The sequence below is a fragment of the Homo sapiens genome, chromosome 2, assembly GCF_000001405.40.
Source record: "Homo sapiens chromosome 2, GRCh38.p14 Primary Assembly".
In the NCBI taxonomy this organism is placed as follows: domain Eukaryota; kingdom Metazoa; phylum Chordata; class Mammalia; order Primates; family Hominidae; genus Homo; species Homo sapiens.
Window position 1 is genome coordinate 40,439,441 of NC_000002.12, and position 26,618 is coordinate 40,466,058.

Genomic DNA, 26,618 nt, shown 5'->3' on the forward strand with positions numbered 1-26,618 from the left:
CTCTTTTTCTTCATTTCAACTCAAGAACGAATCCCTGTGGTCACTCTTTCTTCTTTCTAGTCTGCCTCTTGGAACTGGGGATGTTTAATACAGAAACCAATCTCAAGTTGAATGACAGTCAATCCAGCAAGATTTTTTTCTTTTTTATTTTTTAATCTTTTTTAACAAGGTAAATGCTGGTTGTGTGAGCAGAGGCTGGTGAATTTCATCAGCTTTTTCAGTGAGTCATTAAGATTCATCTTCAAGTAGATAGCATTTCAGAAGACAGAATCCTATCAACTTGAGGTTTTTAAGTCTTAGATTTTCCTGCATAGTTTCAAATTACAGTCCTTGAAAGAATAAGCTCTTCTTGAAAAGAGTGGAAGTAGGAAGTAAAAAGAAACATATTTTAAAAAGTCAAGGTGATGGGTGCTCACATAAGGGTGACTCTCCATCAGTGTTGTATGCTACAATTTTCTAAAGTTCCTGACAATATACTCAGTGACAAAGTTCTAACACCAAGTGTCTATTTACATATTACAATATTGTATAGTATATATTACCTATTACAATACACTTTAAAAATGAAACTCACCTTAGAAAGAAACTAGTCAAATCTTATTATTTAGAGGACCAAAGGGAGTGTTGGTGACATGGGAAAACACAACATTCTTACAGAAATCTAGTAGAGAAATACATGGTTTTTCTCTACTAGCTAGGGCATCTAGTGAATATGTTCTTTAAACCAATCTTATATACCTGTGTTTGAAAAATTATTAAAATTGGCTTAAGTGGTATGGTTTTAACGTTAGTAACTATGCTGACACTGCTAGATTATTGTCTTTTGGTGACAGATGAGGATTATAATAGATGTGAATTTATCTATCACAAAGGTGGTCCTAAAAGGAGCCATTGAAAAAGGTAGAGAAAAAAGTCACTGGAGGAAGAAATTCTATTTAATAATTTAATTAGCAATTGAAGATAATTTCTATCTATGAAGCCTTTGCTAATGCAACAATTATTTTCATCAATATCAATGATTAATAGGAGAACATTCATTCATTAAAAAAAATCAAACGTCTTTTATGTATATAGCAAAGTGCGAGGCACTGGGGCTAGAACCATGAGATAGACAGACGTAATCTCTCTCCTTAAGGAACTTATTACCTAGCTGGGAAGACAGATGACAGATGTTCATTTAAATTACTACCCAAAATCCATAATTATGTCCATCACATAAACAGAACCAATGACAAAAACCACATGATTATCTCAATAGACGCAGAAAAGGCATTTGATAAAATTCAACATCGCTTCATGTTAAAAACTCTCAATAAACTAGGGATTGATGGGACATCTCAAAATAATAAGAGCTACTTATGGCAAGCCAATAGCCAATATCATACTGAATGGGCAAAAGCTGGAAGCATTCCCTTTGAAAACTGGCACAAGACAAGGATGCCCTCTCTCACCACTGCTGTTCAACATTGTATTGGAAGTTCTGGCCAGGGCATTCAGGCAAGAGAAAGAAAAAAAGGGTGTTCAAACAGGAAAAGAGGAAGTCAGATTGTCTCTGTTTGCAGATGACATAATTCTATATTTAGAAAACCCCAGTGTCTCAGCCCAAAAACTCCTTAAGCTGACAAGCAACTTCAGCAGTCTCAGGAAACAAAATGGATGTGCAAATATCCCAAGCATTCCTATACACCAAAAATAGAAAAGCAGAAAGCCAAATCATGAATGAATTTCCATTCACAATTGCTATAAAAAGAATAAAATATTTGGGAACATAGCTTACAAGGGACGTGAGGGACCTCTTCAAGGAGAACTACAAACCACTGCTCAAGGAAATAAGGGAGGACAGAAATGGAAAAACATTCCATGTTCATGGATAGGAACAATCAATATTGTGAAAGCAATTTATAGATACAATGCTATTCCCATCAAACTACCATTGACTTTCTTCATAGAATTAGAAAAAAAAAAAAACTACTTTAAGTTTCATATCGAACAAAAAAAGAGCCTGTACAGCCAAGACAATCCTAAGCAAAAAGAACAAAGCTGGGGGCATCACACTACCTGACTTCAAACTATACTACTACAAGACTACAGTAATCAAAACAGTACGGTACGGGTACCAAAACAGACATTATAGACCAATAGAACAGAACAGAGACCTCATAAATAACACTACACATCTACAACCATCTGATCTTCTACAAACCTGACAAAAACCAGCAATGGGGAAAGGATTCCCTACTTAATAAATGGTGCTGGGAAAGCAAGCTAGCCATATGCAGAAAACTGAAACTGGACCCCTTCCCTACACCTTATACAAAAATTAACTCAAGATGGACTGAAGACTTAAATGTAAAACTTAAAACCATAAAAACCCTAGAAGAAAACCTAGGCAATACCATTCAGGGCATGGGTATGGGCAAAGACTTCATGACTACATCACCAAAAGCAATTCCAACAAAAGCCAAAATTGACAAATGGGATGTAATTAAACCAAAGAGCTTCTGCATAGCAAAAGAAACTAGCATCGTTTTCTTAATCCAGTCTATCATTGTTGGACATTTGGGTTGGTTCCAAGTCTTTGCTATTGTGAATAGTGCCGCAATAGTGGTGGGGTGGGGGGAGGGGGGAGGGATAGCATTAGGAGATATACCTAATGCTAAATGACGAGTTAATGCGTGCAGCACACCAGCATGGCACATGTATACATATGTAACTAACCTGCACATTGTGCACATGTACCCTAAAACTTAAAGTATAATAATAATAAAATAAAATTAAAAAAACAAACAAATGTATAAATCTTTTTACTAAAAGTGATAATTCAAAAAAAAAAGAAAAAAGAAAAAGAAACTAGCATCAGAGTGAACAAGCAACCTACAGAATGGGAGAAAAACTTTGCAATCTACCCAATCTGACAAAGGTCTAATATCTGGAATCTACAAGGAACTTAAATTTACAAAAAAAAAAAAAAAGAAAAAACATCAAAAAGTGGACAAAGGATATGATATGAACAGACGCTTATCAAAAGAAGTCATTTATGCAGCCAACAAACATATCAAGAAAAGCTCATCATCACTGATCATTAGAGAAATGCAAATCAAAACCACAATGAGATACCATCTCACACCAGTCAAAATGGCAATTATTAAAAAGTCAGGAAACAATAGATGCTGGTGAGGCTGTGGACAAACAGAAATGCTTTTATACTGTTGATGGGATTATAAATTAGTTCAACCATTGGGGAATACAGTGTGGCAATTCCTCAAGGATCCAGAACCAGAAATACCATTTGACCTAGCAATCCCATTACTGAGTAAATACCCAAAGGAACAGAAATCATTCTACTATAAAGACACATGTACACATACGTGTATTGCAGCAATATTTACAATAGCAAAGACTTGGAACCAACCCAAATGCCCATCAACGAGAGGCTGGATAAAGAAAATTTGGTACATAGACACCATGGAATACTATGCAGCCATAACAAGGAGTGAGATCATGTCCTCTGCAGGGACATGGACGAAGCTGGAAGCCATCATCCTCAGCAAACTAACATAGGAACAGAAAACCAAACACCACACGTTCTCACTCATAAGTAGGAGTTGAACAATGAGAACACATGGACACAGGGAGGGGAACAACACACACTGGGGCTTTCTGAGGGGTTGGGGGCAAGGGGAGGGAGAACATTAGGACAAATACCTAACGCATGCAGAGCTTAAAACCTAGATGACAGGTTGATAGGTGCAGCATACCACCATGGCACATCTATACCTATGTAACAAACCTGAACACTCTGCACATATATCCCAGAACTTAAAGTAAAAAAAGAAATCCATAATTATTAACTCGAATAAATGGCTATGGAAGTAAAAATGTGACTATAAAACTAAGTAACAGAGGACTTCACCTACCAGAGTATTAGAAAAAGTTCAGCTGAAAAATAACATCTAAGCTGAGATTTAAAAGACATTCTGCAGGAAACCAGCCAAAAGGTTGTTGAATTGTAAGGTCTTAGGTGGACACTTTTGTAATTACCCTTCTCTGTAACAGGATTATTCACAGACGTACCTTCTTAGATATGCTGGGGTATGAGATCATGTTTGGAAGGGACAAAAAGTAGCTTCTATAATTTATACAAGACTTTTTCTCTCTGAGGTCAGAGCCATGCAACTGCATTTAATTGCATTCTACCACACTTATAGGGTCAATGTGGTAGATGGAAGGTTCACTGGTCTAGGGACTAAAAGAAATGAGTGCTGGTCTCAGCTCTACTGACCAGTCATATGTCCTTGGAGAAGTCATTTTCCCTCTCTTAGTATCATCTGTAAAACTGGGAAATTCTGCTAACAATCTGCAGCTGTGATATTCGAATCCTACACTTTGGCATTCAGTGCCATCTATAATATAACACCTGTCCATCTGTGCAGGTTTACTGTTAGTCAATATATCAGCTAGTAGTCAGCTGAGCTACTAAATGAAAATTACCCAAATATGTACCACATCATCTTTTCTAATGCTTTGATGGTTATCTTCCATGACCCATCTCAAATGTCAAATTTCCCTTATAAAACTACTTTGATTGCTAGGAAGGCCCTTAAACGTCATCTAGGCCAGGTACAGTAGCTCATGACTATAATCCCAGCACTTTGGGAGGCTGAGGAAGAACTGCTTGAGCCCAGGAGTTCAAGACCAGTCTGGGCAACATAGCAAGACCCCTGTCTCTACAAAAATAAAATTAAAAAATTAGCCAGGCACAGTGACATATGTCTGTGGTCCCAGCTACTCAGGAGGCTGAGCCAGGAGGATTACTTGGGCCTAGGAGGTAGAGACAGCAGTGAGCCATGATCATGCCACTGCACCCCAGCCTGGGTGACAGAGTGAGACCCTGTTTAAAGAAAAGTAAAATTAAAAAGTCATCTGTCTCCCTAGCCCCCACCTTTCCCAGTAAGAAAACTTGGGGCCTGATAACTGAAAGAGACATTTCAAACCCAAATATCTCAGAAGTGATGGAGCTGGGCTCTAAAACAAATTCTGTGAATTTCTAGGCCATTTCTCTTCACACTACACCAACACCAATTGCTAGGATTCCCCAAGCCCATCAATGTTTCATTTGCGTCTCTCATAATCTATACTGTGTGTGTCAAGAGTTGGCAAACTATGGTTAATGGGACATAGTCAACCTCCTACCTGTTCTCGTAAGGCGCACAAAATTAAAATGTTTCTTACCTTTTAAAATTACTGGAAAAAAAAGAATATTGCATGATGTGAAAATTATGTGATATTCAAATTTCAGTGTCCACAAGTAACATTTTATGGAACACAGCCGTGCCCATTCATTTATATATCATCTATGATTGCTTTCTTGCTATAACACCAGAGTTGATAAATTATGACAGATCCTATAGTTCACAAAGCCAGAAATACTGACTATCTGGGCATTTAAAAAATCAGCTCTCTGATCTTCGGTATATGCCATTTTGCGTGTACTTATCTTCCTTTACCTTCCTGTGGCAACCCCTTCACCACACCAATCAGTGTATTCACCTGGGGGCACACAGGCAGGAACAAGGCTCTCTCTCACCATTTATATCTTCAGTAATGAGCTAACAGTTGCTGAGCACCCATGTGTCAGAAACTGTTCCAAATATTTTACTAATATTAATTTATTACTCCTCACACAAAACCACAAGCCTTTTTAATATTTTTATTCCCATTTAATAGATGAAGAAAGTAAACACGGAAAAGGCTAAGTAATTAGCACAATGTCAAATATGCCATCTTTTGAATTCAAACGAATGTTATAACTATCATGAATATGTCTGCTGACCTCAGAGACCTTTAGTCTGAGGACCCTAGGTTGGTTCATTTTGTTAGTCAGTATTCTCAAACTAGATGAAAAGTCGTAGTTCCCTTTCCACCCTGAAGAATCCTTATTAGACATTCAGGAATTCCTGAGGCCCAGAAAACACAGGCAAATTTCTGGAGGCTTTCTACACAGGGAAAGAAAAAGAAAAAGAAAAAGAGGTAACTTGGATGAAATGATTTCAGAGTCATAGAACTGGATTCTACTATCTCCTATTTCAGTCTTATAAAATCATTTAATTTTACATGGCCTCCATTTGCTTATTTGTAAAATATAAACACAAAGCAAAACTAGGTGATATCAGATGTCTCTTCCAGTGCTAGCCATGGTATGAAGCAACAGAAGGACTGATAAAGAGAAGCTCTTAAAAAGAACTTCTGACAGCTAGCTGCATGTCCAGGGGAAGAAAGGCAGACAGGGAGGAGTCAGGGGAAAAGAAGCACTGACTGCCCAACACTGATTCACAAATTTCAGCTTTGAAGGGTCCATATCCCCCAACATTTGAAAGATCATTTTGGAAGAGTGACTTGAAACTTCTGAGAGACATTTGATGGGTACCTCTCCAAACTGTCTGATGCCACCCACAGTTGGGTCTCTAACACGGCCCCCAGAGGAAGTTAAAGCTTGGATGTAGAGTAAGCAGTCTCATTCTCTCAACCTGCTACCAGGATGGGATGCTATTCATGGAGCACAGCAGAGAACCAAAGGGTGGCCCTGGGTCCTGAGCTTTAAGGGAAAGCTGAAGAAATGGGAAGCTAGAGAAGTTCCAGAAGCTCAACTGTAAAAGCACCAGCATAACCATTTGGTGCTAAAGAGATAAATAAAAACCACCTACCCTAGTAGAGGAAACAGAATCATCACCTTTAATAAAGGAACAAGTTAGCAAGTGGTCTGTCTCTTGCCTCACCTCTGACTGGTATAGCCTCTCTCCTCCAAGGCCATGCTGGAAGTTCATCCTACATTTTGGTTTCAAGTATAAAATGCATTTGTACAATGGCTTATGTTGTTATTTGTTTCAGATCCTGTTTCTGTGGCATGGTCCTGACTGGGACACAGAACGGAATGAAAGGGTCTAGAAACTGCCCTAACATTTCTCCACGGTTACCTTGTCGTAAATAAGCTGGGGCTCTTTGACATGTTTCAAAAGTGGCTAGCCTTATTTGCTTTCAAAATCCTTTTCACTCTTTCTGAATAAATTAAAATGCTTCCTCCTCCGTGAAACCACGTCCAATGTTCTCTTCTTCCTTTCAACTCCTTCAGCACTTTGCTCAGTTGCAGTGGAGTGATCTTTCTTGCTCAGCCTTGTACTTCAGCATAGGTGTTCTAGACCATGACATCCCTGGGAACAGAGAACAGTGTAGAGCATGGCTTTTGGAGAGCCTTCCTTATTAACCATTACTTGTTAGCCCTTGGCCCAAGTTATTTCACTGAACCATAGTCTTCATCCTTAAGTCAGAAAAATGATGCTTCCTTGTCCTGCAGAATACTCATAAGCATCCAATGAGAAAACGTGTGTAAAGCATTCAGACTAGTCCCTGGCACATAAAAAGTGCTCAACAAATGTCACTAACTTTTCTTCATCATCTGCATTCTTTGAAAAGCCAAGCACAGGGCCTTGTATACACTGAATGCTCCATAAATATCATAATTTGGTTGAAGTAAATTGCTGAATCACTACCTTGTTTGACTTGCTCTCACATTGGATCCAACCAGGAAATTATTAATTGTTCTCACTTACCATGCAATGATATCAACAAAGTAATTAATCTGTCTTTTTAAAAAAATTAAGATGATCTTTAATATTTACATCTAGTTTCCTAGATCTATTACATGTACAAGAAACCATTTGTCTGAATTGGTATCACACTAGCATTTTCTAGGTTACGGGCATTAATACATATTGCAGAATGATACAGTCGAATCTATTCAAGATTTTAAGGATATAATTTCACTCTAGGGAAAATATTTTGCCCACTCCTCAGAGGACTTAAATGGCTAAATCTTCAAGAAAGTATCAAATTTGTATTACCCTTGTTGCTCTAGAAGCCAAATTTTGGAGAGTTTATCTTTGCCTTTGTCTGGCTACTCTCTATCCCTCCCCATCAACAGCCCCATTCCTGGGCACTCACATCGCCCCAAACTTCCCCACCAAAATGGCCCTGAGTGCACTAACTGGGCAGCAACCTAGTTTTAAACCTCTTTCACATTCTCTGTATTTTCCTGTGTTCCAGGCCCCCAGGACTTTGTCTGCCAGTTGACCTGATAAACCAATCCAAGTTAAAAAAAAAAAAAAAAAAAAGAAAGAACATATGCTAATGATTTGTGAGAATTAATGGTAGCTCCTTCTCGGATAATATTTCATTTTATTAGGGTCTATTAGATAGAATTCCTTTATTCAAATGAATGGTTCTAATTGTGAAAGTTTCAGATACTATTTTGCCCAAGAAATAAATGCTTTGAACCTGGGAATGCTTTGCCCACCCTCAAATCACTGTATAGACTGCTGCCTGCAATGCACTTGCCCTTGATCACAAAAGCATTTTCTTTGCTTCAGCTGCCAGAGCTTTTCCTCTTCCACATGTTCCCCTCCTTCTACTGAAACTCACTAGGAAGTTTCAGGTAAGGTGGAAATGTGATTCACTTAAACTTTTGTCTTGTTACTGTCTACACTCTTGGCTGGGCAGATCAAAGGACAATCACAAATGTAAATTTAAAACACCTACTGTTCAATATAGTCTCTGCAAAGAGAACTTACAAAAATCACTTGAGGCAGCAAGGACTACGAGCAACTGTCTTATAAGTCAATGCACTGGAAAATACATCAGAAAATGGACTGTTTGATTAATAAGTACTACTGAGAACCTAGTCATTGATTAGGTCTTCAAAATATATATTGTGTAAAACGTATTTTGTAATGTATATGTGTGCATGGAGGACTGGGGATGGAAGGTGACAGAGTGGGGAGGCCAGGGAGAGAAAGAGAGAAAAAGAGATTTTGGAAGAGGAAGAAAGAAAACCGAAAGTAATCCCGCTGCACTTAATGAGGCCCCATTGGACTAGTCCTGAATCCAAATCTGAATCTCAAAGGCAGACGCTGAAAGCTCACATTCTCAGAATCTAGTCCATCCCAATGGGTCAGAAAACACCTGATATTTATTTCCACTAAATCTCAGCTATATCTCTAGGGAACAGAAATACCTTCGTTTAAAAAGAAAAGTGGAAACAGCTAGTACAGAAATCCACTGGTTTTGTTAGCCACCTTTACTACCAAGAATTAGAGCCAAAGTGATAGACAGCTAAGGGAACCATAAGTGATGTCAGATAGGATTCTGGAACCCAGAGAAAGTCAGGCAGAACGTTTGCCACAAGAGGGAGCAGTAGAATTTGGTCAGATGGGAGACCATTTGGTAGGGGTTATGATGAGGGGTGTATGAGGTATGGGAGGTTATGATGAAGGATTTAACTACAAGTATGGGTGATATTTGGATAATATTTTAGCAAAACACATTTATCCTTGGGGGCAAAAACAAAAAGATAAAGGGACCAGGAAGAGTAGAGAGATAATAGCATGTTGATTCCTAAATTCTTAGCAAATATAAAGTGACAATTTAATGTTTACTTGAAAGCAACATACTACGAAAATATAAAACATGCAACATATGTGCTCTAACAGCCTCTTCTAGAGGCTGCATTTCTTTTTCCAGATCTAATTTATATTTCAGTTTGAATTTTGTTTATTGCCATATTTTTAGGGCAGTCTCCTTCTTATCTATATACTATCCTCCCTGTACCTAAAAGGCATCACAAAGAAAGAACTTGTCTCACTGAATTGCAACATTAAAAAAAAAAAACAAAAAACAAAAAACAACAACAAAAAAAAACACACAGACATTAATGTCCCAAAATGCACTTACTTTGAGACAACCACATCTATGAGCTAAATGAATGCCTTGGCTGGCTTTTTAAAGGGGAATTGCAACTTCCTTGGATCTGCACAGCTTTTCTCATCATTTATTTTGTCAAAGAAATAGATTGAATACTAAGAGGAATCATGTGTTTATTTTGCAAGTAAATAAAAGTCTATATTTGCCTGGCAAAAGCATGTTAAACATAGCTTTTTAACAGATGCTGAAGTTCTCTTGGAATATATTTTATTTTTTCAAAACACAGAAAGCTTAACAGAGCAATTAACATAATTCCTGCAAATAGTCCTATAGATGTTACTGACTATACCTCACTTTCCATTTGTAATTTTATTGGGAGTCAAAGCACTGTTACTCCCATGCTCTTTTCTTCCCCTGGTCAACAAAAGGGCTATGTGCTTAATCTGAAACGTTACAGTAGGAACCACTATATAATAATATTAAAGTAAAGACATAGGTAGATAGATACATAGAAAATAAGCCTTCATATTTTAGTTCATTACTCTCCTCCTTCAGCCCTGTTAAGCTTTCAAGACAGTAAAGTCTGATTATCATGACACTCTTACATCCTTTGTAGCCCTATACAGCTCAACAATAAATAATGGTTTATCTCTGTTCAGTCCTTTTTGTTGCTGTTGTTTTTCTAGGAATTAATCATTTTTTTAAAAAAAGACAACAACCATTTTAAGGGGACAAAATCAGGGCTTCTTTTATAGCAGGTGTGAGAAATCTTAGCTAAAGAGCCGTGAGATCCAAATGGAATTCTTCAAGCAGGCAGAATTTGTAAAACGAAAACCATTTAAGAGCACACATCTTGCCTCTTGATGAAATAAGTTGGTCCTCCCCCACCTTCTCACTCACAAGGCCCCAAAGATGGAGCTAGTTTTCCCTTCCTTCCTCCTGCTTTCACACCCGCCTAACCTCCCAATTAAGCAAGTTTAGCAAACCCAGGGAGCTCAATCCAAGTAACACAGGATTTGAAAGAGGAACCTAAAACCAATCATCCCTCTTCCGGCTTTGTCTTCTTATTTGAAATGAATGAAACATCTAGATTCATTTTCCTTTTTTTTTCTGACTCGCTGCAGGAGTAGCTTTGAGAGAGAAAGAGAAAGCATGTGAGTGTGTGTGTGTGTGTGTGCACGCGCGCGCGCTGGTGGGGGCATGGGAAAGAGAGGTATACTTTCAGAATTCTCTCCTGGTGGCTCCCTCTTTCCCTTGGGAAATCTTCGCACAAGTCTCAGATTGTGCATGTTCAACTGCTCATATCTGGAGATACTCCAGCAATGCCTTTAACCAGATCTGATCAGAAATCTCCACCTACTCAGCTAGAGGCTCCTCCATGATCAGGACGCTTGTACTGTCTTCACCACATCTGTCATTTTTTAAAAAGCTTCTTCCACTACACCTCCCACTGATATCCTTTTTTTCTCTTTTTAGTCTTTACACCTCCAGCAGGACAAAGTTTGTATTGTTATATTCACAACCACTAGTAGCTGACTAGCAGGAGAGAGAGAGAGCGGCTTCAGGAGAGCCAGGTTCGGGGGCTTCAAAAGGATACCTAGCGCAAAGCATGACTTTCCAATGACTGCGTACAACATGCACATTGCTCTCTTCTAAAAATGCTTTGTTAAATTTCATCACCCCTGTTCTCAACTCAACCACTACCACTTTGGAGAGGGAAATACAAATTGCCAGCCCAAGCCATTCATCAAACAGCAACAGAATCCACGGGGTGGTGGGGGGGATAGAGAAGAGGCGGGGGTGATGCAGGGGGTGGATTTAAAGAATCAAGGATGCACACGTACTGTATTTTCAAGAGCATCGCCTGGGCGGATTTGGTTTCTTTGGCCGGCTGTCCAGCTATAAGACCGCCCTCTTCTTCATTAAGGAGGAGCCAAAAAGGATATCTTCACATCTCAGAACACAGACCATTTCCCCCAAGAGCCAGCAAAGCTCCAGAGGCAGAGAATGCAGCTGCAAAGTTCCCTTCCAATCTCTTGGGGAAAGATGCCTGTGTGTGCAGAATCCCCAAAGCACACCACGGCACAGTGCCCAGAGACGTGGACCCCGCAGCCCACTCCCTGCTACCCCCTACATTTCTTCCTCGTCTGTCTCTGCCCCGCCACACCTCCCTCCTCTCCGCAGTCCGTGGTGAATGAGCACCCAACGCCCGCTGGAAAACAGGGGGCTCGGAAATGTGGCCTTGGGGAAAGACCCCAGGGATTACCGGAAGGAGGGATGTCCGCGGAGAAGAGTCCAGTGGGTGGGGACGCCTGGATCCCCAGCAGCTCTGCATTCGGGGTGGACTTAGCTCTTCGCGCCCTGAATCCTCAGAGCCCAGCGCGGTGCAGGGTGCAGCATCTCTCCTTAGCAGCCCTTTCTTCCTCCGGCAGCCTGCACTGGCAGGCAGGCAGGCACCCTCACGCCCAGACGCACCAGCCCGAGCAATTTCACTCTGGGAAGCGCGGACACCCAGAAAAATGTGCAGGCGCGCACACACCACATCACACACACACACACACACACACACACACACACACACACACACACACAAATTTAGAAGCCGCTCGTTTGCCAAAGCAGAGGGAAGTGTAGCCTTATGAGCAGCAAATGGAAAATAGTTCTTGGTCTCTGACTAAATGCCTTCTGCCTGTCCATCATAAGATCCTACCTGGTTTGGGGAGTGTGAATGGATTCTTCCTCCGTTCCTCCACGCTAGTAGAAAATACGGCGCACTCCCTCCTTTTAAACAGCTCCCGATCAGGAAGAGGTCGCTCCCATCTTCTGTGGGAAGCACAAAGCAGGCGGCGGCGGCGGGCTGACTACCGTGCAGCGCCGGCGCGAGCGGGAGCCGCGGCAGCGGGCAGCGGTGCGCGCGGGCGGGAGGCAGGCGCGGAGGCCGGGAGGCTGGGAGGGCCGGGGCCCGGGCGCGCGCGCGCTCCCCCTCCCTCCCGCGCACACTCGCCCGCCCGCCGCCCGCAGCCTCGCACTCGCTCACACGCGCGCTCGGCCCCGCGGCTGCCGGGCGCCCCGGGGCCCCCTGCGCGCCCCTTGGGCTCCCCAGGCGATCGCGTCGGGGCAAAGCCGGCGCGTTTCTGGAGCACCGAGCGGGTGGGGAGCCCTTCCAGCCTCCCAGCCTCTGCCGGCGAGCAGCTTTTTCGATTTCCTGCCGGCTCTCGGCCCCGCAGTGCGTTGTGGCCGCGCGCTAGCGCTGTCTCTCGCACCCAGCCCATCGATGACACGCGCACACAGGCGCTGCAACTTTTCTTTTGAACCCTCTTCTTCTCTTCCGCAGACAGAACCCTGACCCCCAATTCGCCTACCCGTTTCTCACCTCTGACTTTGTTAATCCAACTATCTTTCTTCCCTCACTTCCTGCCCTTCTGCTAAAGGAAGCTTTCTTTTAGCAAAAGGATCTGGGCATATATCAATGATTTTTTTTTTAATCCTCACCCTGTGTTTTTCTACGTATCAGATATGCACAACTATACGTTGGCTACTAGATGCTGACACAAGCAAACAGAGATATTCGGGGGAGGGTGTCCCCCGGCCAAGAACTGGGACAGAGTCTCTGTGTTGGTATTTCCCTCAAAGATGCGTTTCACCTGGGAATAAAGACCCAGAGTCTGTTTCGTGTGAAAGGCGTGCTGGTTTTAAACTACAGTGAGGAGTAAAAGCCGAGCATTAAGGTTGAGTGGGAAAAAACCTAATGCAGCAATCGACGAACCATTCTTTGCCCTTTCCAAGAGAAGCATTATCATTGCCAATAAATCACTTTCCTCATAATTAATAAAGGAACACTGCACCAGGCCTTTCCTCTCTTGACAGCTCATTCATTCTTACAAACCCTTAATGACTTCACGTGGTGAAAGGCTAGACCTACTGTGGAGTTCACTAGCTTCCAAACCTGGCTGCGCATCACACACACCTGGGAATGTAGTCAGATGCTGTAGAATCTGAGGCCGAATCTGATGCAGACTCTCCCGTTGTAGGTCTCAAATGGGGCTCCAAATTAGTATTTTTAAAACACCAGTTGCTATCGGCCACTGGTGTCGTTTGCCAAGGTGTGTGGGGGGGTCAGGAGCAGCTACTTGGGGAAGGTGGGAGAAGGAGGGACCTGCAGAGCACAAGGCAGAAAGTTAGTTTTTTTTCGTGGAGACGTCCCCCCATACTTACAGTGCAACCAGGGCAGTCACCACGACTGATAGATTCTGACTCCAGGAACCTCAGTTTGCCTCCGCAACAAAGAGGGGGCGGAATGGAAGAAATAGCCTCTTCTGCCCCTGTGCCAGTGGCTCTCAACCCTCCTTGCACCTCAGAATCTCCTGGGCCGTTTTTAAAAATCCCAGTGCTTAGGCCACACCCCCAAACTGATTAACTTTGACTCTCTGCAGGTGGGCCCCAGACAGCCTTAATTTGTTTTTAAGATGCCTGGTTGATTCCTATGTGCAATGAAGGTTGAGAACCACTGCTCTAGGCCAATACTCCTCAAACATGAATGTGAGTATGAATCACATGGGGATTGCAGATTCTTTTTCAATAGACCTGGAGCAGGCCTGGGGTAGGCAAGTGTTGAAGTGATGCTGAGGCCGTCTGAATGAGGACCTCACTTTAATTAGTCGGGTCTGTTGCCAGCAGTCTTGGATACTGGCTTTGTAGAGGACACTCTAAGCTGCTTCACGTCTTATAAAATTTGCAGGAATCGTTCTTGCCTAAGAACATTTTTCTTTCCTTGCTATAAGTTAAATTTTCTTGGAAGCTACTTTCCACACCAACTTGGTTAGACTACACTTACTAGTGGATATAAACAGAATGACCTGTGGGGAGAGACAGAAGGTCACTGTCTCTTTTAGAATATGTCCTCTACCAAAAATTACTTAGAGTCCCTGAATTTAAGGCAGTGTGAGTAGCAGATATTTGGCTCACACTCAATGAAAGGGGCTTGGAGAGAAAAGTGGCTGCCTTCTAAATAACACTAAGGAAAGCTTATAACTAAAGACTCCACTCAATAGGAAATAGAACACAGCCAAATGAAGGAACCAAGAGAAAGCTAAATGAAAATGTGAGTGGGCCATATTTCACTGGAATAGATTTTGTGGAAAGAGTGTAGCCTCTTATTGCTATGACGGGCCGCTTAGTGAAAGCTGAGATTTTCTTGAAATTTTAGGCATGTTTGTGACATGGAGTGACAAGAACCCTGTTCTTTAAATGTTTATACTCCAGTGATGCCCAAAGTCTGTCTTAAGACTTTTTTTTTTTTTTTTTTTGCTTTGACCATTGAAACTGAAAGGCTACATCTTGGCCACTTGATTCTTCCTCTTTTCCAATCGAAACTGCTTTTAGACTGATTTGGATTCTTGGGAAAAAAACAATATTAAATGGTCTTCTGTTTATCTAGAACTATTGGAGAGGCAGCCTAGTGCCTAGTGATTTGGCATCCTTTTTGGTTCAGTCAGTTTCTGAGCCCCTAATTTTCTTTGCCTTTCATTTCTCTTTAAAGGCATTTTTATAATGGTTCCAGGGCCCCAAGGCAAATCAAACCTTTTGCTCCCTCCTAAATGTCATACATGAGTGAGTTTTTATTGCGAGAATTATCAAAGGCTGCATCACAGGCACAAGGCTGAGGAAGACTATGGCTCTAAGAAAGGAAAAAGTGAGGCTGCTGCAGTCTGTGGCTTTGGAAAGAAGACATGTTGAATGGAGGAAGGTGGTAATTTACATTCTAATAGCAGTAATGTTTCTTAATTGCAGTCTTCCATATTGATTGCCATTCTTTCCTCTGGACTTGGAATTAAGAGTCACCGGGTCTCCACTGTTATCTAACCAAAGCAATACGACACAACCATTCAGGGGACTCCACAGGGATATCACTAAGATTTGATATATTCGAAAGATGTTCTGATGTTCACAAACTATTTCCTAGGAAACCTTCAGGGGATCTGTTAGCAAACTCATTTTCAGACCAAGTGTAAATATTGTGAATTAGGCCCTACTTTTTATCTAGTCTATAGAAAATTTAGACATGTGATCAGGTTACCAAGATTTTTAAAAATATTTAATACTTTACTAAAGCACTCAATATGTTTTCATCATAGGGAAAACAAGCACAATACTCTGTTTAAATTCCTTTCATTTTTACTTTGAATTACATAAATCAGAGGTACCTCTATTGTCTCTTCCATTGCTTCGGGCTTCTGAAATATGTTAATACAGTCTTAGTCGTCCCTCACCTCATTTCTTACTCTGCCAGCCTTCACTAATCACCTATCTGTTCAGTCACAGGCTCAGTTTCATAGTGATTTCTACATAAGAAAATGTTATTACATAATAGCCCCTAGCCTGGCCAGTGAGTGGAGCTTAGAATTAGCCATTTTTCCATACCTAAGAATCTCAGGTGAACCATTGGGTTCCCAGTTTTGTTCTTTAGGTTTTCTTTGCTGATGAGTAGATCCAGGGTTCTTTGCTTTGGGGATGACTTTGAGAATTCTTTGTTGACTTCTAAGTGCTGTTGTTCCTCTTCCCTGGAGACTTGTTCCTGCAGTTAAACTTTTACTTCTCTGTTTTGTTTTGACCAACTGAACACCACTCTTGTACCTCACCCAGTTGTAAACCCTGCTACTGCACAACAGTCCACAGACTGGGGCAGCCTTCCTGGCAGACTCACAGTCACAACTCTCCTCCTCTCTGCATTACCGTGGGGTCAACCACTTCCTCTGAGTCGCCAATGAATTTGTCACAGTCTTTGGACATCAGGGACCTGCAATTCTACATTTGAGCAACTGATATTAAAGAATTGGGTTTGGGCTGGGCGCGGTGGCTCACGCCTGTAATCCCAGCACTTTGGGAGGTTGAGGCGGGTGGATCACGAGGTCAGGAGATCGAGACCATCCTGGCTAACATGGTGAAATCCCGTCTCTACTAAAAATACAAAAAATTAGCCGGGCGTGGTGGCGGGCACCTGTAGTCCCAGCTACTTGGGAGGCTGAGGCAGGAGAATGGCGTGAACCCAGGAGGCGGAGCTTGCAGTGAGCAGAGATCACACCACTGCACTCCAGCCTGGGTGGACAGAGCGAGACTCCGTCTCAAAAAAAAAAAAAAAAAAAAAAAAGAATTGGGTTTGTACAAAATTCTGAGACTTCTGTTTTTCATTTCTGCCCCTTATTAAATTAAGGAAATATCTAGTCTCTGTCCTGCAACTTTATCAATGGTAACTCAATGGCAGAATCATTATCTAGAGCTATTAATTTAGAGGTCAGAAAATAATAGCAGATTGGTTAAGAGCCAAGGCTTTAGAGTCAGAATATCTGTGTTAGATTTTTCAGATCCAGCTGTGTGACCTTGGGGAAGCTTTTTAACCTCTTAAATCTCAATATCTTTGTTTGGAAAACATGGATCATAAACTCTCCCTCAAGGTGCTGTGGGAAGGATAAAATGTATATAGGATGCTTGGCATAGTTCCTGATCATAGTAATTGCTCAGCAAACGATATTGCTGTTATTATTACTGGTAAAGTTTCATAAACATGATGTCAATGTAAATTTTAAAATTTCTATATAATTAGATTCTACATAATCAGGTCATCCAATTATTGATATTGATTATGCTGTTGTTTTTGTTATACAGAGTTCTATGCAATGAATAATCCAGAAAAATATACATTTCTACATCAAGAGAGTACTTTTCCTCTCTGTAATGAAAAAAGCTGCTTGTGAACTTTCTGATTTTGTAAGTACATAGTGTGGTTAGTGATTGATTAAAAGGGGCAATGAATTCTTCTCTCCTTCACAATAATTCTGTTCCCTTATGTCTGGGTATCAATTTGATCTTATCTCTATTATAAACTGAGGGTAGAATTTCAAAGACAGTCATTTTACGCAAATCCTGCTACAACTAAAATTTTGATTGTCACATTACATTAATTTTATTAACTGGGAACTTTTTCTGTAGGGCGTAAACTTCTTCACTAAGTTTACACAACACACTTTCCTCAACATTGATTCAAGGACTCTTCATCAAATAGGGGCTCAAGATAAGCTCCCTGGGGTGCTTTGTACCAGGCAGTTGTTCCCTACAATCCAGTTCAGAAGCAATGTCCCTGCGAGATTACACTTCAGCCTTTTTCATAAATCTCTTTTCCAAGGCACCGTTTATGATATATATCTCCCTCGCTGTATCTTCAATTGCTGGTCACTGATTAGACTCTTCTGAGAGCTGCCACTGTTTTAGTGCTTACCACAATGCCCAGACAGTAGCCCTTGAAGATGAAACCTAAGGGGAAAATTGACTAAACTTATGGGTGTTGTAATCCATGATTTTAATGATGCTGATTCTGCTACTACTGGAAGTGTCTGGAAATAATGAAACTGTATGCTCTCGTCTCTTTAAAAATGTAGACTCATACAGTGTGACCTAAAGAATCCTTAGTAATCACAAACAAGTAATACTTAGAAACTGCATTCTATTTTCCCATTCTTTTAAAAGTATTATCCAGTCACACAAAAGTCACCTTTGGGTTTGTTTCAGCATTCCTAAGAATGTCTTTATCAAAACAAAGGATAAATTGTTTGTATAGACATTAACATTTTTTGCCACCTCCAATTTAATTTTTATGTAAGAAATCCTTGTGAACTAGTTGGGGCTGCTATGGTTACTCTCATTTTACAGACTGAGAAAGAAAGTACAAAGGGATTTGCCGAATCCTGGCTGTACGCATGTATCAGCTGGGTTATTTAAAAAAATACTGAAAGCTGGGTCCTACCCTTAGACATTCTGCCTCTATTGGTCAGAAGTCGAGTCTGGGCACTGTTTTGTTTTGTTTTCAAGTTTTTTGGGATGGTTCTATGATTCAGCCAGGGCTGAAAACCACTGACCTAAGGTCAAATAGCTAATTTGTGGCAAAGACGAGTGATAAAGCTCTTTTACGTCTGGCACAACTCAGTTTCTTTTCTGCTGCTCTATCAAATTTCACTATTAATAGAATATAAAAATGAGGACTTTTCTGGGAAATTTAAGAGGACTTACAAACGTTTAAGTGCCTTTTTGAGTCCCTAAGGGGCAGGTAATGTAATTCACCTGACATAAGCAGATTGGAGGATATGATCTAGAAAGTCCAGTCCATTACTATGGGGCCCCCTTCTACTTGAACATTTATTCCTCAGCATCTAGAGCAGTTTTTGGTGCATGGGACATGAATTAGTAGAACATGTATCGTCCCCTGTAAGGGGACTGGTGTAGATGGAAAGAAGGATTCCGGTGATAGGGTAAACTCTTTGGCCTCTCTCCAGTGCAAATTGCAACTTAATAGCAATCATCTCTTTGTGGCTGCAGTTCAGGCTCTGGTTAGCTGACACAGTCACCATATCTACACCGGTGTTCTGCCTGGCCACCTGCTCTGCGATGACAGACAGATTGTCTGTGACACTGCAGGACGAGGAACCACACAGAGACAGCAATCTGACCGAGCCTCAGGCTTGAGTTTGTAAACTAACCCTTTGTCAGTTATCTCAGGAATTACTTCTAAGCTCTTATTTGGACCAATTTGTGACTAAGTCAGAGAATCTCTTATCTCCTCTATTAAGAAGGGTTCACTAGGCATGGGGTTTATAAGCATTATTCTTGTATTCTTATTTATTATTTTTCAAGATTCAAGGAATATGTAAGTTTCCTGATTATGTCAATCGTTGGTCATCAAGCAACTCTTATTAAAGGAAAAAAAGCTGGGTAGAACAGAGAAAAATAAAACACAGCTGAGAGTAGCCATGAATTCATTTGTTCACTCATTTCTTTATGGATTTTTTCAACAAATATTTATAAGGATGGACTCCGGACCAGGCACTGTCTCAGACACTGGAGAGACAGCAGTGAAAACATCAGTAGAAGTTTCTACTCTCCTGGGACTCACATTCTAGTGAAAAAATGACAGGCAACAAGCAAAATAAACAAATTAACACATTGTAGGGTGTCATATGGAGAAACTGCTATGAAGCTCATAAAGCAGGAAAAATGGAATAGAAAGGTTTAGGGAAAGTACTAGTTTAGGTGGTCAGTTCTGCAGAGACTTGAATTAAGATTTCCTGTTGACACCACCAAACCTTTTTTGAGAGTCCCAAACAGATAAAATGATATAGGACAGTATATTTTTTTTTGTTTTGAAAATTTGTTTCTGCCCTGTACTGAGTTTTATTTTGTTTTTAGGAATTCCTGCCTCAAAGCCATCGGACTTTATCAGGGTCAGCAGCAGAGGCATGGCCATATGACTTGTACCACTGCGTTTTGGAGCATATTCATATTAAATACATCCAAGAGTTGTTTCAAAAAGACAGACTGCCACCAGGGGTTGCACATAAAAATAACCATTCCTTCTAAGGCACAGTTGACACAAGAATTCTGAGTGCCTCTTTGGTTTATATTATAGCATCTTATTAGTGCACCTGGATGACCAACTTTATAAGTAAGCTCTGGTGGGTGAACCTCTTGCCACAAAGTCAACAGCATTGGTGGGCAGTGTTGGGGGAGGCCATGGGAATCATGCATGTGTAACTTAATGGTGGTCCCAGTGCTGCTTTCTATGGGTCCATCATACCTCCTTTTCCTTTTTCCTGAATTGTTACCTGAAATTATACTATACACAACACACACACACTCTTCCACAAACTCACATACTCATTCGCATACATGGCTTGTAAATATGGCCAAATATTTAATTATTGAAAAATCACCAATTGCAAATTTGCAAATACCCATGAAAATCATAGCTGACCTCTTGTTTTTGTAAATGTTATTTAACGTCAATGGTGTCAATGGTGTTTTATTTGCAGAGTCTTGTATACTTCTTTTCACGTCTACTTGGAGACTCAGGGCCTAAAGCAGATTACAACTCATATACTGTGCTTTTTTGAAATGAATGATATCAGATTTGAAGCCTAAAATAGATATATGAATTATGTATCTCATGGATCTTAAGAAAGGATTTAATTTTTCTCTTATTGTTTCTTTTGTAAAAAGAAAAATAAAAATCTCTGAATGTTGCTCAAGGAAAAGCAGAGCTTGGATAGAAAATTATTCCACACAGCAAAGTGCATACTTCACTTGTAACAGATAGATCAATAAATATCTGTTGAATAAATGATGCAATTTAATGGAACATGCTACTTTATAGGGTAATCATTTATATTTTGTAGCAGATTACTGGTTTAATTTTTAAGTCATTCCAGCTGCAAATAGGGAGTGACTACTCCATTCAGAGCCATGAACTAAGTTCTGTGGTGATTAAAAAAATGAATTAGACACTCTCCATGGCCTCTAGGAATTTAGACTTATAGGTAAAATCAGACTGTAAGTATTTTTTAATTTTTTTTTTTTTTTTGAGACAGAGTCTCGCCCTGTTGCCCAGGCTGGAATGCAGTGGCATGATCTGCAACCTCCGCCTCCTGGGTTCAAGTGATTCTCCTGCCCCAGCCTCCCCGAGTAGCTGGGATTACAGGCAGGCACCGCCATGCCCAGCTGATTTTTTATATCTTTTGTAGAGATGGGGTTTTACCATGTTGGCCAGACTGGTCTTGAACTCCTGACCTCAGGTGATCTGCCCACCTCAGCCTCCCTAAGTGCTGGGATTACAGGCGTGAGCCACCGCACCTGACTATAAGGATTTTTCAAGAAGTAAGTGCTATGGCCGGATATGTACTTTATGAAGGTAAATCTTGACAGTGTGTCTGAGATGTGTTTAAGTGGGCATGACCAAGGATAAAGAGACCAGAGACTCACATAAAAGGACTCTAAACAACTACTGAGGGCGAAAAGGAAGAATATAGCCATTTTTTTCTTTGGCCCAATTCTTAGCAGAATCCTATTACCGCTCAGCTTAATCTTTTAAAAAAGTACTGAGTTTTCATTTTGAGAGGAATCACTCTGGATGGTTTCAAGTGCAACACATATAATTTCTATAAAGTCGATACTATTATAGGAAAAAAATCATTTTTAAGACTGGCATATCAAGGTGCGGATGGAGGGTGCTAGTCTGCTGTACCAGGCAGAGAGGATATTTCACCACTGAGATGATGAATGGTAGCAATAAAAAGCAGACAGACCCTTCGTTGGTTTTATTATTGTGCCTAACTTCTCTACAGACAATGCACCCCCTGATCCTTTGCAACGTGGATTTACTGCTCCCACTGCCTGTCCCCCTTGGTGTGCTGGTGTTTCTAAAACAGATTATAGTAATCTGAGAATATCCGGTCTTCTTTCTATGACATAGAACTGACTTGCAAGTAAGGAGGAGGTGAAAAAACCCTTGCCCACTCCGCGCCCCTGCACAACCACCAGACATTTAAATTTACTGTGAGTGAAAGCTAAGTCTGACAAAGGATGGATTTTATAAAGAGCCTCTTACTTCCCTTAACTACCACTGATTTTACTATTATTTCAGAAATATACAAGACCAGTGAAGGAAATCTAATATATTTGTAACATTTAATCAAGTCTTTTTGTCTTTTGATCATATATATTCAGAAGAACATTGTTTTGTTAAAGGCAGTCTTATTTGTTAGATAACAAGTCCAAAGATAAAATAAATTGTTTGATTTTTCATGTGTATTTTTGACATCTTTCTGACACTGTTAATCTGACACAAACTAAAACACTATACATTCATCGTTATAAGAAATCTAGTGTTGATTTAACAGTACTTGACATTATAAGATATATTTATAAAATGGAAAGAATATGCTAGATTTTTCGATGTTTATCCTCTCATTTTAAAGTAAAATCCTCCTTTTTTTTTTTTTTTTTTTTTTTGAGGTGGAGTCTCACTCTGTCGCCCAGGCTGGAGTGCAGTGGCACAATCTTGGCTCACTGCAAGCTCCAGCTCCTGGGTTCGAGCAATTCTCCTGCCTGAGCCTCCCAAAAAGCTGGGATTACAGGCATGCACCACCACACCTGGCTAATTTTTGTATTTTTAGTAGAGATGGGGTTTCACCATGTTTGCCAGGCTGGTCTCAAACTCCTAACCTCAGGTGATTCACCCACCTCGGCCTCCCAAAATGCTAGTATTACAGGCGTGAGTCATTGTGCCCAGCCATAAAATCCTACATTTAATTAAATAAATCTAATACTTTTTAATTCTTAATCAACTATAACTAAATAAATTTAAGTAAACTTATTTAAATAAATAACATTCTATTTATATATGAATCCTAGTGTTAGAAAAATACCTAATGAATTTCCTGACAAGTTGGGAATCTTTTCTTTTTTTTTTTTCTTTGAGAGGCAGTATCTCATATTAGAGAAGATCAGAGCAGGCGGGGCATGGTGGTTCATGCCTGTAATCCCAGCACCTTGGGAAGCCTGGGTGGGAGGATCGCTTAGCCCAGGAGTTCGAGACCAGCCTGAGCAACCTAGTGAGAACTCATCTCAATAAAAAAGTCAAAAATTAGTCAGATGTGGTGGTGCATGCCTGTATTTCTAGCTACTTGAGAGGCTGAGGTGGGAGGATTGCTTTAGCCCAGGAGTTTGAAGCTGCAGTGAGCCCAGATTACGCCACTGCCCTTAGCCTGGGTGATAGAGTGAGACTCAGTCTAAAATAAAATATAAAATAAAATAAAATAAAATAAAACAGCAGGAATGAGCTTGAGTTTTGTGGGAATAAACTTGAATTTTGGTAGTTGCCTGCTAGCTGTGTTATGATAGATAAAAATTATTCGTTCATTCACTCATTTGTTTATTGAGTAGTTTTTGAGTGACCACTAAGCAAGGTCCTGTGTTAGACACAATGGAATTATCAGTGAAAAAAAAAATGGGGCTTTCATCGTGGGGAAGAAAACTAACCAAATTACACAATTTAGTTTTTAATTAACATTGTGGTAAGTGGCAGCAAGAAGACACAGAGAGTGGGCTTAGACGTTTTCTAAGAGAGAGAGCTAACCTTTTTTAGTAGACTCTGTAAAGCTCCAAAAGGTAAATAAGCATTGGCTAGGAAAGGAGGGAGTGAAGTGAGTTCAGTAGAGCCCTGGACAAAAGCAGCTTCGGACACAAAGGCCCTGAGATGAGATGCAGTTGAGGAACTGAAAGGTCAGAGGTTCTAATGCACGCAGCCAGTGAGGGAGAAAGGGGTGTCAGCGGCGGCTGCAAGATAAGCATAGTACGTGTTGAACTTGTCGGAATTAATTTTTTGCTTTTGTTTTTCCTAAGATCAAGGTGATATCTGCTTCATTCTAAAGAATCGCCTTAGTTCCACTATAGAACAATTAGCCTTACAGTTACTAAATTTTCTGCCCTTTTTCACTTCTCTCTCTCATACAAAATTTAGCAGAATTCCTTCTAACTTAATTATTAAGGGGAGAATTGACAACTGGAAGATTAAAAACAAATTAACTCATATTTTCTATGCATGGTTTTACTTTCATTGCTATCCCTTGTCTGGGGTCTCCTGTGTGATTATTAGTAATTGCCACAATGACCAGAATTATCCACCAGATTGCTTTTCAGATTGCTTGGTGGAATCTTGTTCTTTTTTTGCCCATATCCCTTCTTGATATGCTATTCTAAATTACTCTCAGACTTACAGACAAGGGAGGAGGATTAAAGAGGATATATACATACACACACACACATACACACACACACACACACACACACACACACACACACACACACACACACATATATATATAGAGAGAGAGACAGATTGATGGTGTCTCGCTCTGTTTCCCAGGCTAGAATGAAGTGACGTGATATTGGCTCACTGCAACCTCCACCTCCCAGGTTCTAGCAATTCTCCTGTCTCAGCCTCCTGAGTAGCTGGGATTACAGGTGCATGCCACCACGCCAGGCTAGTTATTGTATTTTTAGTAGAGACGGGGTTTCACCATATTGACTAGGCTGGTCTTGAACTCCTGACTTCAGGTGATCCATTCACCTCGGCCCCCCAAAGTGCTGGGATTACAGGCTTAAGCCACCACACCTGGCCAAAAGAGGATACATACAAATATATTTCGGGCAGTTCCCTGAACCAGATAGGTTCAGAGAGATTCCCTAAAGAAGAAATATTGGTAGCCAATGTAAACAAAAACAGCACTGGCTGAATTCTAGCATAGAGACAACGCATTTCATAACTTTAAAAGATTCCTTCATTTCTACCTCTTTGTTTGCAGTTAAGTTTTCTCCATTGTGGCATATGAGCAAAACAACAATTAGACCCAGTCTACTGTGCACTCTATTAGGAGTTGTGAAGGAGAGGACCCATTTGTTTCTCCTCTTTGAGGTAAAGGGAAGAGGTTCCAAAAGAATTGCTTTAAAGATTGTAAGAAGGGGAGACTGGCATCTGTTTCCCAATCTTAGCTTCCAGCTTTCTTCTGTATCATATACCCCTAGAGTTGGTGAAAGACTACAGAGGAGGAATGGAGTGGTGTGGGGTTTGTCACTGGAGAGGTATTTAAAACAGTCTGAGAAGTGGGGATGTGGTGGGGGCATGACATTGGAACTGCAGACCTGCCAAGGACTCTACCATAGGACACAGGATGTATTTTGAGTGAGGCCACCAGTTGGTGGGAGTCAACCTATAAGAATAATCTGGTCACATGTAAGTTCCCCCAGTGCCTGGAGGAGATGCTGAGTAAAGAGTCCATCTCAGTGGGGACAGTTGAGTATTTGATCCAACCACACTGATTAGATAATAAATGAGATTGATCAGAAGCAGGTGCCAATATGAAGGAGCTGCAACCTTGCCACAAGAGGTGTTCTCTCCTTACTCCTCTCCCACCCCCAGCTGTGCCAGAACACTATAGAAGCACAGAGGAAAAAGGGCGGGTGAGAGGGTAGATAATATCTCTCTTCTTTGCAAATCTCTAGAGAAGAAGTTGTCAACTAGGGTTGTACCACTCCCTCGGGGGCAATTTTAAAATTCATGGGGTATTTTATGGTTGTCATGATAATACGAAAGTTGTTATGGATATTTATTTGACTAGAGCCAGGGATACAACACATCTTGCAATGTATGGGACAGTCTCCTACCATAGACAATTGTCCTTCATGCCTTATAGCTTTCAAGTGTTTTACAGGGCATTCATGTAGGTGAGGAACCTATTACATATATATATAGTATTTTTGGCATGCTTACATTTACACTGATTTTTCCAGGAATATAACTACTGTGTATATTGAAGAAAAAGTGTACTGTTTTACTTGGAATTTAACAAAAGTTTTTCACCATTTTGATAAAAATCACTTCACTGATGGCAATGTTGCCTGTTAGCAAGCATTTATAGCTGTTGCCTTTGGGGTAGTTCTACATAATGGAACAAGCATCTGATTACTACATCATCTCTTTTAATGTGGTTCTATCTGAGTGTTTATACATTAAGTAACGTATTAATTTATTATAAAATGTTACCATTTATTTCCCTTGTATATTATAGTTAGGTCATTATAAAGAATTTTAATATATATACATGGAATATGTTATATTCGTAATTTTATTTCAGAATAAGGTGCGATAGCGTATTTTTTTATACAAGGAGTACTATGGTCTGAATGTGTCCCCTAAAATTTATTTTTAAAATAAAATGTGTTGGAAAACTTATCTTCAATGCAACAGCATTGGGAGGTGGGGCTGCATTGGAAGTGTTTAGGTCATGAGAACCCTGCCCTCATGAATGGATTAACACCAATATAGAACGGTCTTTTGGGGAGTGGATTTTCTCTCTTCTGCCCTTCTGCCATGTGAGGACACAGTATTTGTCTTCTCTTGCCCTCCTGGCTTCTGCTATGTGAGGACACAGCAAGAAGGCCCTGACAAGATGCCAGCACCTTGATTGTGGACTTTCCATCCTCCA

At 40.6% G+C, this 26,618-nt stretch overlaps 1 protein-coding gene across 22 annotated transcripts in view; it reads right to left on the bottom strand.

The window, feature by feature from the left end:
* Positions 1 to 26,618, bottom strand: part of SLC8A1 (solute carrier family 8 member A1) — a 415,166-nt gene that overhangs the window by 342,171 nt on the left and 46,377 nt on the right. For 11 of the 22 annotated variants that reach the window (NM_001351493.2, NM_001351490.2, NM_001351483.2 and 8 more), the window contains exon 1: positions 12,464 to 12,650. The exons of 2 other annotated variants lie outside the window; for them this stretch is intronic. The gene's annotated coding sequence lies outside the window, so the exon portion shown is untranslated. Of the gene's footprint in view, positions 1 to 6,776; positions 7,209 to 12,019; positions 12,245 to 12,463; positions 12,651 to 13,720; positions 13,910 to 26,618 lie in introns of those variants that run through there. 9 more of the 22 variants (NM_001351492.2, NM_001351488.2, NM_001394104.1 and 6 more) reach the window with 4 other exon arrangements.